This window comes from Homo sapiens, chromosome 9, assembly GCF_000001405.40.
Source record: "Homo sapiens chromosome 9, GRCh38.p14 Primary Assembly".
Classification (NCBI taxonomy): domain Eukaryota; kingdom Metazoa; phylum Chordata; class Mammalia; order Primates; family Hominidae; genus Homo; species Homo sapiens.
Genome location: NC_000009.12, coordinates 65,826,924 through 65,847,450, shown reverse-complemented (window position 1 = coordinate 65,847,450; position 20,527 = coordinate 65,826,924). Strand labels below are relative to the sequence as shown.

General features: G+C 39.6%; 2 pseudogenes across 1 annotated transcript in view; one reads left to right on the top strand and one right to left on the bottom strand.

Annotated features, from left to right (window-relative positions):
• Window positions 1-10,481, top strand: part of LOC101928195 (methylenetetrahydrofolate dehydrogenase (NADP+ dependent) 1 like pseudogene) — a 40,305-nt pseudogene extending 29,824 nt beyond the window's left edge. Inside the window, exon 5 of the transcript NR_135597.1 lies at window positions 10,232-10,481. The product of NR_135597.1 is annotated as a methylenetetrahydrofolate dehydrogenase (NADP+ dependent) 1 like pseudogene (transcript). The remainder of the gene's footprint in view (window positions 1-10,231) is intronic.
• Window positions 15,755-19,331, bottom strand: BMS1P13 (BMS1 pseudogene 13; annotated as a pseudogene).

Here is a 20,527-nt window from a genome sequence, read left to right as displayed (position 1 = left end):
TTCACATAAAAACTAGACAGAAGCATTGTCACAAACTTCTTTGGAATGCGTGCTTTCATGTCACAGAGTTGAACATTTCTTTTCATTAATCTATTTTGAAACACTCTTTTGGTAGAATCTGCAAGTGGACATTTGGAATTCTTTGAGGCCTACGGTGGAAAAGGAAATATCTTCACAGAAAAACTACACAGAATTATTCTGGGAAATTTTTTTGGGATGTGTGCATGCATCTCACAGAGTTGAACTTTCTTTTGATTGAGCAGTTTGAAACACTCTTTTTGTAGAATCTGCAAAGGGACATTTGGAGCACTTTGTGGCATATGGTGGTAAAGGAAATATCTTCACATAAAAACTAGACAGAAGCATGCTGACAAACTTCTTTGTGTTGTTTGCATTCATCTCACAGAATTGAACCTTTCTTTCCATTGAGCAGTTTTGAAACACTGTTTTTGTACAATCTGCCAGTGGACATTTGGAGCACTTTGAGGCTTATGGTGTAAAAGGAAATATCTTCACTTAAGAACTAGACAGAACATTCTGAGAAACTTCTTTGTGGTGTGTGCATTCATCTCACATAGTTGAACATTTCTTTTCAATGAGCAGTTTTGAAACACTCTTTTTGTAGAATCTACAAGTGGACACTTGGTGTGCTTTGAGGTCTATGGTGGAAAAGGAAATATCTGCTCATAAAACATGGACAGAAACATTCTGAGAAACTTCTTCATGATGTGTATATTCATCTCAAAGATTTGAACCTTTCTTTTGATTGAACAGTTTGGAAACACTCTTTTTGCAGTATCTGCAAGTGGACATTTGGAGGGCTCTGAGGCCTCTGGTGGAAAAGGAAATATCTTCACTTAAGAACTGCAAAGAATCATTCTGAGAAAATACTTTGTGATGTGTGCATTCATCTGACAGAGTTGAACCTTACTGTTGATTGAGCAGGTTTGAAACATCCTTTTTGTACTAGGTACAAGTGGACATTTGGAGTGCGTTGATGCCTATGGTGTAAAAGTATATATCTTTACATAAAAACTAGACAGAAGGATTCTTAGAAATGTCTTTGTTATATGTGCATTCATCTCACAGAGTTGAAACTTTCTTTTGATTGACTAGTTTGGAAATCTTTTTGAAGGATCTGCAAGTGGACATTTGGATCACTTTGAGGCCTATGGTGGAAAAGGAAATATCTTCACATAAGAAGTAGACAGAAACATTCTGAGAAACTTCTTTGTGATGTGTGCATTCTTTTCACAGAGTTGAACCTTTCTTTTGATTGAGCAGCTTTGAAATGCTTTTTTTGTAGAATCTGCAAGTGGACATTTGGAGCGCTTTGAGGAGTGTAATGGAAAACAAAATATCTTCATGTAACAACTATGCAGAAGTATTGTGAGAAACTTCTTTGTGATGAGTGCATTCATCTCACAGAGTTGAAACTTTCTTTTGATTTTCTAGTTTGGAAACTCTCTTTTTGTAGAATCTGCAAGTGGACATTTGGAGCGCATTGAGGCCAATGGCAGAGAAGGAAATATCTTCACATAAAAACTAGACAGAAGCATTCTGATAAACTTCTTTGTGATATGTGTATTCACCTCACAGTGTTGAACCTTACTTTTAATTGAGCCGTTTTGAAACTCCCTTTTTGTACTATCTGCAAGTGGACATTTGGAGTGCTTTGAGGCCTATGGTGGAAATGGAGATATCTTCACATAAAAACTAGACAGAAGCAATCTGAGAAACTTCTTTTTGATGTGTGCATACATCTCACAGAGTTAAACATTTCCTGTGATGGAGCACTTTTGAAACTCTCTTTTTGTAGAATCAGCAACTGGACATTTTGAGCTCTTTGAGGCCTATGGTGGAAAAGGAAACATCTTCACATAAAAACTAGACGGAAGAATTCTCAGAAATTTCTTTGTGGTGTGTGAGTTCATCTCACAGAGTAGAACCTTTCTTTTGATTGAGCAGTTTGGAAACACTCTTTTTGTAGAATCTGCAAGTGGACATATGGAGAACTTTGTGGCCTATAGTGGAAAAGGAAATATCTTCACATAAAAACTAGACAGAAGAATTCTGAGAAACTTCTTTGTGATGTATGCATTCATCTCATAGCCTTGAGCATTTCTTCTGATTGAGCAGCTTTGAAACACTCTTTTTGTAGAATCTGCATGTGGACATTTGGAGCGCTTTGAGGCCTATAGTGGAAAAGGAAATATCTTCATATAAAAACTATACAGAAACATTCTTACAAACTTCTTAGTGATGTGTGCATTCATCTCATAGAGTTGAACCTTTCTGTTCATTGAGCAGTTTTGAAAAACTCTTTTTGTGGAATGTGCAATTGTACATTTGAAGCGATTTGAGGCCTATGGTTGAAAAGGAAATATGTTCACATAAAAACTAGACAGAAGCATTCTGACCAATTACTTTGTGATGTGTGCATTCATCTAACAGAGTTGAACCTTTCTTTTGGTTGAGTAGTTTGGAAATTCTCTTTTTGTAGGATCTGCAAGAGCACATTAGGAGTGCTTTGGGGCCTAAGGTGGAAAAGGTAATATCTTCACTTAAGAAGTAGACAGAAGCATTCTGAGTAACTTCTTTGTGATGTGTGCATTCATCTCACAGAGTTGAACCTTTCTTTTGATTGAGTAGCTTAGAAACTCTCTTTTTGTAGAATCTGCAAGTGGACATTTGGAGCGCATTTGGGCCTATGGTGGAAAAGGAAATATCTTCATTTAAGAAGTAGACGGAAGCATTCTGTGAAACTGCTTTGTGATGTGTGCATTCCTCTCACAGAGCTGAAACTTTATTTTAATTGAGCGGTTTTGAAAAACTCTTTTTCTAGAAATTGCAAGTGGACATTTGGAGTGCTTTGCAGCCGACGGTGGAAAAGGAAATATCTTCACATACAAACTAGACAAAAGCATTCTGACAAGCTTATTTGTGATGGGTGCATTCATCTCAAAGAGTTGAACCTTACTTTCGATTGAGCAGTTTTGAAACACTCTTTTTGTAGAATCTGCAAGTGGACATTTGGAGAGCTTTGAGGCCTGTGGTGGAAAAGGAAATATCTTCACACAAAACTAGACAGAAGCATTCTGAGAAACTTATATGTAATATATGCAATCATCTCACAGAATTTCAACTTTCTTTTGATTGAGCAACTTTGAAACACTCTTTTTGTAGTATCTGCAAGTGGACATTTTTGGCGCTTTGAGGCAATGGTGGAAAAGGAAATAGCTTCACATAAAAACTATACAGAAACATTCTGAAAAACTTCACTGAGATGTGTGGATTCATCTCACAGAGTTGAACCTTTCTTTTGATTGAACAGTTTTGAAAGACTCTTTTTGTAGAATGTGAATTTGGACATTTGGTGCGCTTTGCAGCCTATGGTAGAAAAGGAAATATCTTCACATAAAAACTAGACAGAAGCATTCTGACAAACTTCTTTGTGATTTGTGCATTCATCTCACAGAGTTGAACCTTTCTTTTGATTGAGCGGCTTTGAAACACTCTTTTTGTAGAATCTGCATGTGGACATTTGGAGCTCTTTGAGGCCTATGGTGGAAAACGAAATACCTTCACATAAAAACTATACAGAAACATTCTGATAAACTTCTTTGTTATGTGTGCATTCTTCTCACAGATTTGAACCTTTCTTTCCATTGAGCAGTTTTGAAAAACTCTTTTTGTGGAATCTGCAATTGTACATTTGAAGCGCTTTGAAGCCTATGGCTTAAAAGGAAATATGTTCACATAAAAACTAGACAGAATCATTCATAGAAAATCCTTTGTGTTGTGTGCATTCATCTCACCGGGTTGAACATTTCTTTTGATTGAGCAGGTTTAAACACTCTTTTTGTAGAATCTGCAAGTGGACATTAGGAGCCCTTTGAGTCCTGTGGTGGAATAGGAAATATCTTCATTTAAGAACTAGACAGAAGCATTCAGAGAAACTTCTTTGTGATGTGTGCGTTCATCTCACAGAGTTGAAACTTTCTTTTCATTGAGCAGTTTTGAAACAATCTTTTTGTAGAATCTGCAAGTAGACATTTGGAGCGCTTTGCAGCCTATGGTGGAAAAGGAAACATCTATACATGAAAACTAGACAGAAGCATTCTGACAAACTTCTTTGTGATGTGTGCTTTCATATCACAGAGTTGAACATTTCTTTTGCTTGAGCAGTTTGGAAACACTCTTTTTATAGAACCCGCATGTGGACATTTGGAGTGCTTTGAGGCCTACGGTGGAAAAGGAAACATCTTCATATGAAAACTAGACAGAAGCATTCTGACAGACTTTTTTTGATGTGAGAATTCACCTCACAGAGTTGAACCCTACCTTCGATTGAGCAGTTTTGAAACACTCTTTTTGTAGGATTTGCAATTGGACATTTGGAGTGCTTTGAGGACTATGGTGGAAAAGGAAATATCTGCACATAAACACTAGACAGAATTATTCTGAGAATATTATTTGTGATGTGTGCATTCATCTCACAGAGGTGAACCTTTCTTTTGATTGAGCAGTTTTGAAACACTATTTTTGTGGGATCTGTAAGTGGACATTTGGAGCGTTTTGACGCCTATGCTGGAAAAGGAAATATCTTCACATAAAAACTGGACAGAAGCATTCTGAGAAATTTCTTTGTGATGTGAGCATTCATCTCACAGAGTTGAAGCTTTCTTTTGATTGAACAGCTTTGAAACACTCTTTTTGTAGAATCTGCATGTGGAAATTTGGAGCATTTTGAGGCCTATTGTTGAAAAGGTAATATCTTCACATAATAACTAGACCCAAGCATTCTGAGAATCTTCTTTGTGATATGTGCATTTATCTCACAGCGTTGAAATTTTCTTTTGATAGAGTGGTTTGGAAACTCTTTTTGTAGAATCTGCAAGGGGACATTTGGAGAGCTTTGAGTCCTGTGTTGGAAAAGGAAATATCTACACTTAAGAACCTGACAGAAGAATTCTGAGAAACTTCTTTGTGAAATGTGCATTCATCTCACGGAGTTGAACCTTTCTTTTGATTGAGCAGTTTTGAAACACTCTTTCTGCAGGATCTGCAAGTGGACATTTGCAGCCCTTTGGGGCCTATGGTGGAAAAGGAAATATCTTCATATAAAGACTAGACAGAAGCATTCTGGCAAATTTCTTTGTGATGTGTGCATTCATCTCACTGAGGTGAACCTTTTTTTGATTGAGTAGTTTGGAAACTCTCTTTTTGTGGAATCCGGAAGTGGACATTTGGAGTGCTTTGGGACCAATGGTGGAAAAGGAAATATCTTCACTTAAGAACTAGACAGAAGCATTCTCAGAAACTTCTTTGTGATGTGTGCATTCATCTCACAGAGTTGAACCTTTCTTTTGATTGAGCAGTTTTGAAACACTCTTTTCGTAGAATCTGCAAGCGGACATTTGGAGCGCTTTGAGGCCTATGGTGGAAAAGGAAATATCTTCACATAAAAACTAGACAGAAACATTCTGAAAAACCTCTTTGTGATGTGTGCATTCATCTCACAGGGTTGAAACTTACTTTCGATTGAGCAATTTTTAAACACTCTTTTTGTAGTGTCTAGAATTGGACATTTGGAGTACTTAGAGTCCTATGGAGGAAAAGGAAATATCTTCATATAAAAACTAGAGAGAAGTGTTTTGAGAAACTCTTTGTGATGTGTGCATGCATTCATCTCACAGATTTGAACCTTTCTTTTGATTCAGCAGCTTTGAAACACTCTTTTTGTAGCATCTAGAATTGGACATTTGGAGCGCTTAGAGTCCTATGGTGGAAAAGGAAATATATTCACGTAAAAACTAGACAGAATCATTCAGAGAAAATTCTTTGTGATGTGTGCATTCATCTCACAGAGTTAAACCGTTATTTTGATGGAGCAGTTTGGAAAAACTTTTTTTGTACGATCTGGATGTTTACATTTGGAGCGTTTTGAGGCCTATGGTGTAAAAGGAAATATCTTCAAATAAAAACTAGACAGAAGCATTCTGAGAAACTTCTTTGTGATGGGTGCATTCATCTCACAGAGTTGAACATTTCTTTTGATTCAGCAGCTTTGAAACACTCTTTTTGTAGAATATGCAAGAGGACATTTGGAGTGCTTTGAGGCCAATGGTGGAAAAGGAAATATCTTCACATAAAAACTAGACAGAAGCATTCTGAGAAACTTCTTTGTGACGTGTGCATTCATCTCAGAGTGTTGAACCTTTCTTTTGATTGAGCAGCTTTGAAACACTCTTTTTTTAGAATCTGCATGTGCAGATTTGGAGCGCTTTGAGGCCAATGGTGGAAAAGGAAATATCTTCACATAAAAATGATTCAGAAATATTCTGAGAAACTTCTTCCTGATGTGTGCATTCATGTCACAGAGTTGAACCTTTATTTCATTGAGCAGTTTTTATTTATTTATTTATTATTATTATACTTTAAGTTTTAGGGTACATGAGCACAATGTGCAGGTTAGTTACATATGTATACATGTGCCATGCTGGTGCACTGCACCCACTAACTCGTCATCTAGCATTAGGAATATCTCCCAATGCTATCCCTCCCCCCTCCCCCCACCCCACAACAGTCCCCAGAGTGTGATGTTCCCCTTCCTGTGTCCATGTGTTCTCATTGTTCAATTCCCACCTATGAGTGAGAATATGCAGTGTTTGGTTTTTTGTTCTTGCGATAGTTTGCTGAGAATGATGATTTCCAATTTCATCCATGTCCCTACAAAGGACATGAACTCATCATTTTTTATGGCTGCATAGTATTCCATGGTGTAAATGTGCCACATTTTCTGAATCCAGTCTATCATTGTTGGACATTTGGGTTGGTTCCAAGTCTTTGCTATTGTGAATAATGCCGCAATAAACATACGTGTGCATGTGTCTTTATAGCGGCATGATTTATAGTCCTTTGGGTATATACCCAGTAATGGGATGGCTGGGTCAAATGGTATTTCTAGTTCTAGATCCCTGAGGAATTGCCACACTGACTTCCACAGTGGTTGAACTAGTTTACAGTCCCACAAACAGTGTAAAAGTGTTCCTATTTCTCCACATCCTCTCCAGCACGTGTTGTTTCCTGACTTTTTAATGATTGCCATTCTAACTGGTGTGAGATGGTATCTCATTGTGGTTTTGATTTGCATTTATCTGATGGCCAGTGATGGTGAGCATTTTTTCATGTGGTTTTTGGCTGCATAAATGTCTTCTTTTGAGAAATGTCTGTTCATGTCCTTAAAAATCAATGTACAAACATCACAAGCATTCTTATACACCAACAACAGACAAACAGAGAGCCAAATCATGAGTGAACTCCCATTCACAATTGCTTCAAAGAGAATAAAATACCTAGGAATCCAACTTACAAGGGATGTGAAGGACCTCTTCAAGGAGGTGCTACAAACCACTGCTCAAGGAAATAAAAGAGGATACAAACAAATGGAAGAACATTCCATGCTCTTGGGTAGGAAGAATCAATATCGTGAAAATGGCCATACTGCCCAAGGTAATTTACACATTCAATGCCATACCCATCAAGCTACCAATGACTTTCTTCACACAATTGGAAAAAAATACTTTAAAGTTCATATGGAACCAAAAAAGAGCCCGCATCGCCAAGTCAATCCTAAGCCAAAAGAACAACGCTGGAGGCATCACACTACCTGACTTCAAACTATACTAGAAGGTTATAGTAACCAAAACAGCATGGTACTGGTACCAAAACAGATATATAGATCAATGGAACAGAACAGAGCCCTCAGAAATAATGCCACATATCTACAACTATCTGATCTTTGACAAACCTGAGAAAAACAAGAAATGGGGAAAGGATTCCCTATTTAATAAATGGTTCTGGGAAAACTGGCTAGCCATATGTACAAAGCTGAAACTGGATCCCTTCCTTACACCTTACACAAAAATCAATTCAAGATGGATTAAAGACTTAAACTTTTGACTTAAAAGCATAAAAACCCTAGAAGAAAACCGAGTCATTACCATTCAGAACATAGGCATGGGCAAGGACTTCATGTCTAAAACACCAAAAGCAATGGCAACAAAAGCCAACATTGACAAATAGGATCTAATTAAACTAAAGGGCTTCTGCACAGCAAAAGAAACTATCATCAGAGTGAACAGGCAACCAACAAAATGGGAGAAAAGTTTCACAAGCTACTCATCTGACAAAGGGCTAATATCCAGAATCTACAATGAACTCAAACAAATTTACAAGAAAAGAACAAACAACCCCATCAAAAAGTGGGTGAAGGACATGAACAGACATTGAGCAGTTTTGAAAAGCTCTTTTTGTAATATCTGCAAGTGGACATTTGGAGCGCTTTTTGGCCTATGGTGGAAAAGGAAGTATCTTCATTTAAGAACTAGATGGAAGCATTCTGTGAAACTGCTTTGTGATGTGTGCATTCCTCTCACAGAGCTGAAACTTTATTTTAATTTAGCAGTTTTGAGAACTCTCATTTTGTAGAATCTGCAAGTGGACATTTGGAGCACTTTGCGGCCTATGGTGGAGAAGGAAATATCTTCACATTAAAACTAGGCAGAAGCATTCTGACAAGCTTATTTGTCATTTATCTCATGGAGTTGCCATTTATCTCATGGAGTTGAACTTAACTTTCGATAGAGCAGTTTTGAAACACTCCTTTTGTAGAATCTGCAAGTGGACATTTGGAGAGCTTTGAGGCCTGTGGTGGAAAAGGAAATATCTTCACACAAAACTAGACAGAAGCAATCTGACAAAGTTTTTGTGATGTGTGCATTCATCTCGCAGAGTGGAACCTTAATTTCGATTGAGCAGTTTTGAAACACTCCTTTTGTAGAATCTGTAAGTGGACATTTGGAGCGCTTTGAGGCCTAAGGTGAAAAAGGAAATATCTTCCCATAAAAACTAGACAGAAGCATTCTCAGAAACTTGTTTACGATGTGTGTACTCAACTAACAGAGTTGAAACTTTCTTTTGATAGAGCAAAACAGTAAATTGAAGTTTAAAATAATTGTAACAATTGCATCTTATATATCAGGTGAGATTTCATAGTTTGGTTCAAGTAGTTTTCAAGTGACAAATTTTCAAGTTTTTAAGTTTTCAAGAGTTGTGCAAGTTCATCAGCCAGAAATCAAGCAAAAGGCTAGATAAGTAGCAGCAGGTGCAGGATTCTTGATATTGAAACTTTTAGGACTTTTCTCCTTCAGGATTCCAATGTTGTACATTTTATTTCCAGTATAACCCCTATGCATGGGATAAAGTAGTTTCACATGTTTGATTTTTCTAATTAGTTATTTGGGTTTCAAAATGTCCAGTTTATCAAAAAATCTTGTGCTGTGTACTGGGGACCATCTACTATAGCCTGATCATTGAATTTTTCAAGAACCTAAGGGGTTCCCTAAGTCCAAGGAAGACAATCAGTGTCTACAAGTCAGGAGGAGAAGGGGAAAGGGCATTCTAATCATTGCTTTGTTTTCATTGATTCTGTTGCTGCTTTCTTGCCATTGAAACTACTCTTGCAGTCTGGTAATGATTAACCTTTGCCACCAGGATGCCCTTTCTGTTTGAGATCCCTCAATCTTCATGTTGATCCATAAAAAGGCTTCAAAGTTACAACTATTTTTTTTAGTTCCCAGACTAACAAAAATAATCTAGCTTTTTGTCTTGACTACCAACCACTCTGGATTTTTTTTTTTTTTTTTTGAGATGGAGTCTCGCCCTGTCACCCAGGCTAGAGTGCAGTGGCGTGATCTTGGCTCACATAACCTCCACCTCCCAGGTTCAAGCAATTCTCTTATCTCAGCCTCCGAAGTATCTGGGACTATAGGCACACACCACCACGCCCGGCTAATTTTTGTATTTTCAGTAGAGATGGGGTTTCACCATGTTGGTCATGCTGCTCTTGAACTCCTGACCTCAGGTGATCCATCTGCCTTGGCCTCCCAAAGTGCTAGGATTACAGGCATGAGCCACCATGCCCGGCCCACTCTGGATTTAAGGACAGTTCTTCCTTCAATCAGCAGCCAAAGAGTCCTGATTCCTGATTCTAATTAAGAAGTTTAACTTGGTATTCTATTTCTGATGGAAGGATGGCTGAAAGAAGGGAGACTCAAACAACAGATGAAGGCAAAATACTCTGTACTGAATTTTCAATGTAATCTTAAATTCTATGTTTAATTGAGATGACCCAAATTCTTTTTTTTTTTTTTTTTTTGATACGCAGTCTCGCTCTGTTGCCCAGGCTAAAGTGCAGTGGCATGATCTCGGCTCACTGCAACCTCCACCTCCCGGGTTCACACCATTCTCCTGCCTCAGCCTCCCAAGTAGCAGGGACTACAGGCACCCGCCACCACACCTGGCTAACTTTTTGTATTTTTAGTGGAGACAGAGATGACCCAAATTCTTAACTGCCTCATAAATACTGTTAATATATTGAAAGTTTTGCCCTAGGCTTTTATTAAAGTCAACTATATAGAAAAAGTTTCTCCTATCTTGAGATGTATTATTAAAGACATCATCCCCAATAATATTCCATATTCTCTGTTTAGGAACCCCAATTGTTTTCAAATTCAAGAATTCAGAGAAATCTACTTGTTACAAAAGAGTAGAATGGATAATGGGCACCACATCCTGAAGTGTATTTTAATAAAAATTCATGTAAGATGGTTCAAAATTTCATTAACTACTTTATATAAAAAGAAATGCCTGGGAGAATTCTGTTTCTAGCAGAGTGGCAGACTGATGCCTTGAACAACCCTCCTATTACAAAACTGAATACTCCACATGAAAACAAATCTTTTCAAATGCATTGTTAAGCTGTGAAGAGAATAACGAAAGTTCTAAGAAACCAAAATCTAAATGAAAACACAAGTCCAGGCAGGCACTGAAAACCTAAAAAAAAAAAAAAAAACTGAAGAGGCCAATTGTTGGCAACCATGTGGAACAGCAGGAACTCTTCAAGCTGCTGCTGGTGGCGGAGGCCAAGCCACTGTGCTCCCAGAACACAACACAGAAGCCTCCACACTGAAGCAGAGCACAGGTGCCCTGGAGTCTCCACCCCACCCAGGGATCCTCCAGCAGAAGTGGGTGTGCCCCTGCATACCTGCAAGTCCCATATGCAGACCTACTGTTCAGGGCCGTGGGATAACAGCCAAAAATAGGAAATCATTTTACTCATCAATGGAAAAATGGTGACACAGTCATATAATGGAACTCAACAATGACGATAAATCAATGTCTGCCATAGACAAGAACATGGATGTGTTCTGTAATACTGAACCAAAGAAGCCAGGCTAAATAGAATGTGCTGTATTTTATAGAAGTCAAAACCAGGCAGAACAAATCTACATCAGGAACTGGGAAAGTAGCTATTTTGTGGGTTGGGGCAGCAGTGCCTGGGAGAGGCCACAGGTCAAGGCTACTGCTTGGTCCAGGGCGTGGCAGCCTGGTGTGCTACAGTTCATCTAGATGCACACTTATGATTCGGGCACTCTTCTGTATGTACATTAACATTTCAATAAAAAGCTTATTAAAACATTAAAGCTTTCAGAAAAATCCACATTGCTTCAGTAGAAATTAGCACATTAACGTTTAAAAAATACATGTATATGGTGGGGGAAAAAAACAGTTCAAAAGAGTATCCAGTGAAAAGTTTAAGAGGGAGTGATGCCAGCTAAGGGCTGATCAATAGCCCCTTGCACTCATCCCCTGACAAAGACAGCCAAAGCAGCAAACAGCTATATTTTGATGAAAGTCACTAAAGGAGAGCCCCAGAGTGCATCAAGGAGTAGCAGAAATCCAGTAGAGCCCGGAAAACAGGACGGTCACATAAAGGAGGGAAGGAAACATCTGGCCCCCACCACCCATTCCCCCAGAGGGATCAGCCTGAAGCAGAGGGGATGTCTCCCTGCAGGAATAAGGAAGCAAGAGGGGCCCAGTAGCCCCAGCACTCCCCTCAGAGAAGGAACTGACATTGTGCCCCACCCCCATGGACCAGCTGCTGCTGCAACGTGCCCTCCTGGACCTGGACCACTTCGGGAGCATGTCCCACCCAGGGTGAGCAGCCACCGCACCCTTCTTCCATCCTCAGGCTTTGTTGCTCTATATCACACCCACCTAGTGGCCCACCACCCCCGAGCCGCTGTTACACTGTCTTAGGCCATTTAGTGTGGCTGTAACAGAATACTTGAGACTCGGGGTAACTTATTTTATAAAAAAGGTTTATTTGGCTCACCCTGCTTGTGTCTAAAAAGTCCGAGATCGGGCAGCACAACTGGTGAGGGTCTTGTGCTGCTTCATCTCATGGGGAAAGTGGAAGGCGAAACAGGTGTATGCAAGGGGCTCACATGGCAAGAGAGGAAACACAAGAGTCTAGGAAGCTGAACTCACTCTGATAACAATCCACTCCTGGTAACTAATCCAGTCCCATGAAAAGGCATTAATCTATTCATAAAGGATCTGCCCTGTGACTCAAATAACTCCCACTAGGCCCCACCTCCCACACCACCACATTTGAAATCAAATTTCAAATGGATGAAATTTCAAATGGCTGGTGGGAACAAATGATGTCCACATCACAGCATACACCCCACCTGCGGGGCCACGCTGCTGTGCCCCTCCCCTCCCAGCTGCCATTGCGCCCTGCCCCTTGGAGCCTGAGCTGACTTGGTGCCCTGCTTTCCAGGGAATCAGTGTCTTGGCCAGTCTAAGCAGTCACACCCCCCACTGCATGAGAGCTGAAGCACTGCCCTGCTTCACAGGGAATCAGTGTCTTGGCTGAGCTGAGCAGCCACACCTGCCAGGGATGAGCCAACATGGCACCCCCATATCCCAGGAAAACGGCATTGGCTGAACTGGGGTACCTTGCCCTTCAGGACAAACAACTGTAGAACCCTGCTTCCTTGGAACTGGACTAGCCCTGGAGAATCTGAGTTGCCCAGGCACCTGCCTCCCCAGGGAGAGAAGTAGTTGCTGTACTGGTCCCTGCCCCCGAGGGCTCAAGCCACAGTAGTGCTCCACCATTCTGGGGTCCTTGCTGATGCTGTGCCTGGCCTTTCAGAGACTGAGATGCTGCTGTGTCCCACCACTGCAGGGTCCAGAGTCACTATCATGTCACTCCCATGTCCAGAGTCACTCCCATCCCCTGGGAGTTTACTTCTTAAACTCTTCGCAAAAACAGAGTGAGAGGAAATAATTCCAAACACATTTTACCAGGCCAGTATCACCTTAATACCTAAGCCAAACCAAAACACACACACACACACACACACACACACACACACACACACACACACACACACCGAACAAAAACTACAGGTCAACTTCTCCAATAAATTAAATACTGATGCAAACATCCTAAAAAAATTTTAGCAAATAGAATTCAACAACACATCAAAAACATTATACATCGTGTTTAAGTGGGATTTATCCCTGGCATGCAAGGCTGGTTTAAAATATGTAAATCAATCAATGTGATACATCACATTAACAAAATGAAAGATAAAATGACATGGTCACCTCAATTGATGCAGTAAAAGCATTTAACAAAGTTTAGCAACATTTCTTGATAAAACCTCTTAATAGTTTATGTATAGAAGGAAAGTTCCTCAACATAATAAACACCATTTATGAAAAACCCACAGTCTAATCATAGTTAGTGGGGAACAACTAAAGCTTTTCCACTAAGATTGAGTACAAGATAGGGATGGCCAGCCTCATCACTTTTATTCAACAGAGTACTTGCAAGAGCAATCAGATGAGAAAAAAAAGGCAACTAAATTAAAGAAGTAAAATTATCTCTATTTGCAGATGACAAGATCCTTTACGTAAAAAACTCCAAAGAGTCCACAAAAAACTGTGAGAACTACTAAATCAATTCAGTTAAGCTGCAAGGTATAAACTCAACATATAAAAATCAGTTGCATTTCTGTATACAAATAACCTAGCTGATGAAGCAATCAAGAAAATAATCTCATTTACGATAGCATCAAAGAAAAACAAAAACTTAGGAATAAATTTAACCAAGAAGGTGAGAGATGTGTACACTTAAAAACCATAAAACATTGATGAAAGAAATTTAGACATGAACAAATGAAAAGACATCCTATGTTTATGGATCAGAAGAATTAATATTGTTAAAATGTTCACACTACCCAAAGCAAATATACAGATTTAACACAATCCTCCTCAAAGTTCTGATGACATTCTTCACAGAACAGAATAAAACAATCCTGGCCAGGCACAGTGGCTCACGCCTGTAATTCCAGCACTTTGGGAGACTGCAGCGGGTGGATCATGAGGTCAGGAGTTGGAGACCAGCCCGGCCAACATAGTGAAACCCTGTCTCTACTAAAACTACAAAAATTGGCCGGGCATAGTGGCATGTGCCTGTAGTCCCAGCTACCTGGGAGGCTGAGGCAGAAGAATTGCTTGAATCCAGGAGGCAGAGGTTTTAGTGAGCCGAGATTATGCCACTGCACTCCAGCTTGGGTGACAGAGTGAGACTTCACCTCAAAAAAAAAAAAAAAAGAAAAGAAAAGAAAAAACAATCCTGAAACTCATATGGAACCACAAAAAACCCCAAACAGCCAACAGATCACTGTGAAAGAAAAAGTTGGAGGCATCACACCTCTTGATTTAAAATTGCATTACAAAGCTATAGTAATCAAAACAGTATGGTGCTGGCATAAAAACAAAAAAATAGACCAATGGAACGTAACAGAGACCTTTGAAATAAATCCAAACATATACTGTCAACTAATTTTTGACAAGGGCAAACAAGACAACACAATGGTAAAAAAGATAGTCTCTTCAATAATAGGATTTTCACATGCAAAAGAATAAAATTGGACCCTGATCATACACCATACACAAAAATCAACTCAAAACAGATACAAGACCAAAGACCCAAATAAGACCTGAAACCATAAAACTCCTAGAAGAAAACATAGGGGGAAAGCCTCTTGACATTGGCCTTAGCAATAATTTTTTGGATATCGCACCACAAGCCAGGCTACAAATGTAAACATAAACAAGGAGGACTGCATCAAACTAAAAAGCTTCTGCACAGCAAAGGAACAACCAACAAAATGAAAGGGGAACCTACAGACTGGAAGAAATATTTGCAAACCACATATCTGATAAAGTGTTAATATCCAAAAATCAGTAAAGAACTCTTACAACTTAAGAGCAGAAAAACAACCCAGTTGAAAAATGGGCCAAATAGGAAATGACCAATAGGAAATGGGGAGATGTACATTAAAATAATACAAAGTAGCAGACATGTAGGATGAACAAGTTAGAGATCTAGTGTACATCATGAGGGCAATAGTTAATAAAAATATATTGTCTTTGGGATTTTTGTTAAATAAGTAGATTTTAGCTGTTCCTGTCACACAAACAAAAATCTAACTATGTGAGATGGTAGCTATGTTAATTTGCTTCACTATAGTAACCAGTTTACTATCTATATGTATCCTTTAAGATCATGTTGTCAACCTCAAATATATAAAATAAAATTTATTTTAAAAAAGAAAAGTTTTCCTTCAATCCAGAAAGAACCACTATTACCATTTTTTGGTGTTCCATTCCAAAATATCCCACAAATATACAATTGTTCAATCAAATTTAACATTAGACTTTATACTTGAACATTCAAAGTATGTAAGAAATTATAGAAAAGTGTCTGTGTGACTCCCTGTCTGTAGAGCACAGGCTTCATCTCCACTAACACACACACGACCAGTACCTTATACAGAGAGTCCTTGTTTGTCTTTAGTCTGACACCATGGGCGAGCCTGAGTTGGCCCGTGGTCCACATTCCTGACCAGGTGTCTTTCTCACCCACTGGTTTCAACAAAGATGTTACTGGGTTATAGAAGGCTGGGATGGAAACAGGATACCAAGTTCGCATGAAGACAATATCTGAAAAGAGGTAATTTACTTTAACGTTTTCAAAAGAAGATTCATATCCATATTGTGAAGAAACAAAGAACAAAATCTTCACTCCAAACTTCTCTACCTGACTGCAAAGTATTTGAAGGGAAAGCTCGCTAAGGAAACTATTCTCATAGATCAAAGAACTGTTACTGGGTGTGGCCAGGGGACTGCAGACACAAGGCAAATGGGCACACTGCATAAGACTGGGAGATCTAAGGCTGGAGCTGCTCAACTCTCTGGAGACCTGACTCCAGCCTCTCGTCACACTGGCTAGAAGTCAAGCATGAATGGTAACACCCTGCCCTGAACACTACTTAAGACACTCACCGCTCATCCGCAGCTTATCCTCAAAGCTATCCTGGAAAGCTCCTTCTGGAGCTCAGAGTGCTCTCTTGATCTGCCCCCTTATCCCACTGACAGTTCGAATCACAGCATCTTCAAATTTGGCCACTTCCAAGGCAGAATTAAACATTCCCTACAGGTATAGCAAGATAAAAACACACACACACACAAAATCATATACTTTATGCTTTACTTCTTACTTCAAACATACATCCGTGATTAAAGAACAAAAACAACTCACTGAAGGGTGATAAAATAATCAAAATGTATTTGCCCCTGAAAGTGGAATTACTACCTCAAAAAGAATACAACTCTTTCATTTTCCCCAAAATAATCATGTGAGTTCATGGGCATGCTCATCACTGCTGTCTGTGTGGAAGAGAAGATCGAAGAGGGATTTACTGGACTGAATTGGCCTAGGAAGCCTTTGCTGGCATCTCTCAGACTGGACTGCAGCCCAGATCCTTTTACTCAGATGCATGCACTTAGAACATGAAAACAGTAAGATAAACGCCAGTGGTATTATTACCTTATATTGCAAGAACATTTTATGACTTCCTAACTCTGTTTTCAATAGAAACATCCCCACTAATGAAATTGTCAATAAATGCTGCTCAAACCACCCTCCCAAAATACTGAAAAACAGTACATCCGTTTCTCTGTACCCTTGCCAAGTTGTCTGCAAATGCTTTGTCGATTTTTCTACTGAGTTAGACAAACTTGTGATTTTTTTCCCTTTCTTAACACCAATTTAAAAAGTAGGAAACAAAACCTAGTGGATAAAATGACATATTTTCAATATGAGTTCTGTGGCAGTCTCACATGGAAGTCAGGAGTAACAGCCTCAATTCCTAAATAGCTGTTTACCACTGCTTTTTTGAGCATATTTAAGTAATACAGAATATAAAGGAGCAAACAAAATATGAAGTTTATAAAAGATTTCAAACACTTTTCTAAAAATAAGAGGCCCACATTTTAGAGGTATTTCATTCCTTTTCTCAAACAATATGGACATTTATAAATATGAGAATATATAGATATACAGACCTTAATAAATGAAGTGTTCTTGAAAATTTTATATGGAAAACCAGTTAGCTTTAATTTCTTCACAATTTTTATGGATTTATCCAGATCAAGGACAACTCCTGTGGCAGCTATCTGAAAATCAGGCTAACAGGAGCCCCAAAATTTGAAAATAGGAATAATATTAGCAAGAGAAAAACTTCAATTCTATGTGACACAATAAATTACCAAAGTGAATTTTACTTACAATTAGTTAAGAAAAACAAGAGAGACCATCTGAACTTGCAACCCATTGGTTTGACAAAAGCAATCCAAAACTTTAAAGTTGGTAAGCCAAACTAACAAGGGTGACTTGAGGCCAGGCACAGTGGCTCATACCTGTAATCCCAGCACTTTGGGAGGCCAAGGCAGGTGGATCACCTGAGGTCAGAAGTTTGAAACCAGTCTGGCCAACATGGCGAAATTCCGTCTCTACTAAAAATACAAAAATTAGCTCGGCATGATGGTGCATACCTGTAATCCCAGCTACTCGGGAGGCCGAGGCAGGAGAACCGCTTAAACCCAGGAGGCAGAGGTTGCAGCGAGCCAAGATCGTGCCACTGCACTCCAGCCTGGAAGACAGAGTGTGACTCGGTCTCAAAAAAAAAAAAAAAAAAAAAGAAAGAAAAAAAAAGGCTACTTGAGTACTTTCCTGAGAGTGATTTCAGAGGAATGTAATTTTACTATAATGATTTATTTGGAACGAAATGGAAAAGAAAAATACAGTTGCAATGTTTAGGAAATTAAAATTTGGACCTCCAGGGAAGATTCCATCTGCTCATTATTCTGCTTTCTTCTCTGTTAAATGGGACCAGTAAACCCTGCCCTGCCTGACTGGTCAAATGAAAATGGAGTGAACAGACTGCTACCCCAGCACAGCTGCAGGGAGTCTTGTGTCTGGGTGGTCTCTGACGGCTCCTCATAACCTCATATAGTGCTTAGCACATGGTGAGCACTGCTTAAATACTTGCTTGGATAAATAAATGCAAAAGATGCATAAAAATAGGAAATGTACCATTATAATTCTTCCACCTCCCCTCCTCTAATCCCACACCCTACTGAAAAGGATGTACGAAGATTAAAAGCAAAGGGAAATTTACTTTATATTAATAAAAATGAGTAATTTTCAACTTAAAGTCTCATGTACATAATAACCCACATTCAGGATATATTTCTCAAACCAATCTGTAAAAGAAATCATCCAAGATAGTTACCATTATGCCACTGACAGACTGTATTGCCAAGAAACCAGTTCCCTGTGGAGTGATAGGGTCTTAAAGGAAAAGGAAAAAAAGAAATATAGCAAACCAGAAATTTTAGATTCTAGTTTAACATACTGGATATGGACACTTAGATTTGGATATAGATGTACATATATACTCCAAACCACCTCCCCGCTCCCAGAAAAGAGAAACATCTTAGGAGTGGAATTTTATGAAAGGAAAAGCACAAAGCTAAAATAACACAGCCTGTAAAGTTTAATCTCGGCAATAGGCAAGTTATTGTAATCATATTTTACCCCAAAAGGCGGCTCCACAATGGATATGCTGTGGCGTATACTTTAGAAGCCTTTGTCTTCCATTGTGGTCTTCGATATAATAGAGCAGGATGGTCTGAAACCTCCTCCACCCTACAGAAAATATGATTGGATCTTGGGACTTGAGGATTTTCTTATACCAGAGATGTTTCTTCAGACGCATCTGAGGGGGATGAGAGGGTAAGATGATTGATGGAGGGGAAATCCACAGAGCCTCAGGCACCAAATACGCAGCAAAGGGACCCACCTGCACATGTCCAACATTTCCCTCACTGTTGCCCAAGCCACCCAGGATAATGGGGTAAAGGGGGTCAAAGTTCTGCACAAATTCACAGGGAACATTTTCAATCTCAACGCGGACATACATCCCAGGTCGAAAACCCTCATACTGAACTCTGGCTTCATCATCTTGATCTTCAAATTCTACGTGATTCAGCTGTACATGATGGGGTGGGGGGGGGGAACCTGTATGCTGTTATTTGTAATAAACATAGGATTAACATGAACAAATGAGCAATTTCTAAGTAAAGGAACTGTGGACAGAATTATGTAGGCTTTATCCTATTAAAAATACTACACATTTGGCCGGGTACAGTGGCTCATGCCTGTAATCCAGCACTTTGGGAGGCCGAGGCGGGCAGATCACATGAGGTCAGGAGTTTGAAACCAGCCTCGCCAACATGGTGAAACCCTGTCTCTACTAAAAATACCAAAATCAGCTGGGCATGGTGGTGCGTGCCTGTAGTCCCAACTACTCAGGAGGCAGAGGTGAGAGAATCGCTTGAACCTGGGAGACGGAGGTTGCAGTGAGTCAAGATCGTGCCACTGCACTCCAGCCTGGGCAATAGAGCGAGATTCCATCTCAAAAAACAAAAAAAACAAAAAAAACCCTACACATTTTACCTCTACAGTCTGTTCAGAATATGTCCCAACCATTTTCTTCTCTCCTGCTCCAAGGGACAGCAAATGTAGATAACTGTGGAGCCCTGCGTGCTCAAACATTGGAAACATCCCCAGTCCACACTTTCTTTCCTTCCTCTCCAAATAATTCTTTCACACTTTTCCCTTGTCTTCAAACACCCACCACCACCCTCACCTTCACTCAGCTGATGGCTGTTTCCTGATTCACTCCAAAACCAAAAGAACCTCTACGGTCAACCCTATACCAGGGTTTCCTCCCATATCCAGCCTTATCAGAGCTCTGACCTGCCCCATAGAGGAGCTATGTGTGGCTATTTAAATTAAAATTAATTACAATTACATAATATTTAAAATGCAGTTCCTCAATCACACTAGTCACACTGGAAGTGGTCCATATCAACCTGTGGCCAGTGTTACAATATTGGGAAGCACAGATGTGCATCTCCATGATCACAGAAAGTTCTACGGGCAGCTCAGGCACAGATGATTTGTCCATGCCTCTACTCAGGGCCACACATCACTTGCTCACTAGACACCATCCACTCTTCCTGGACTTTATTCCAACAGCTCTTCCCTCTGTTCTCTCTCTCATCTCAAAACCTTTTGATTCCACTTCTTCCACCAAAAACTGCTTCATTTCTCTGCTTCTCTCTGCAGCAAAACCCCACAAAAGTTTTCCACAGTTGCAGCCTCCAGTTCCTCTGCTCCCATTCTCCTACA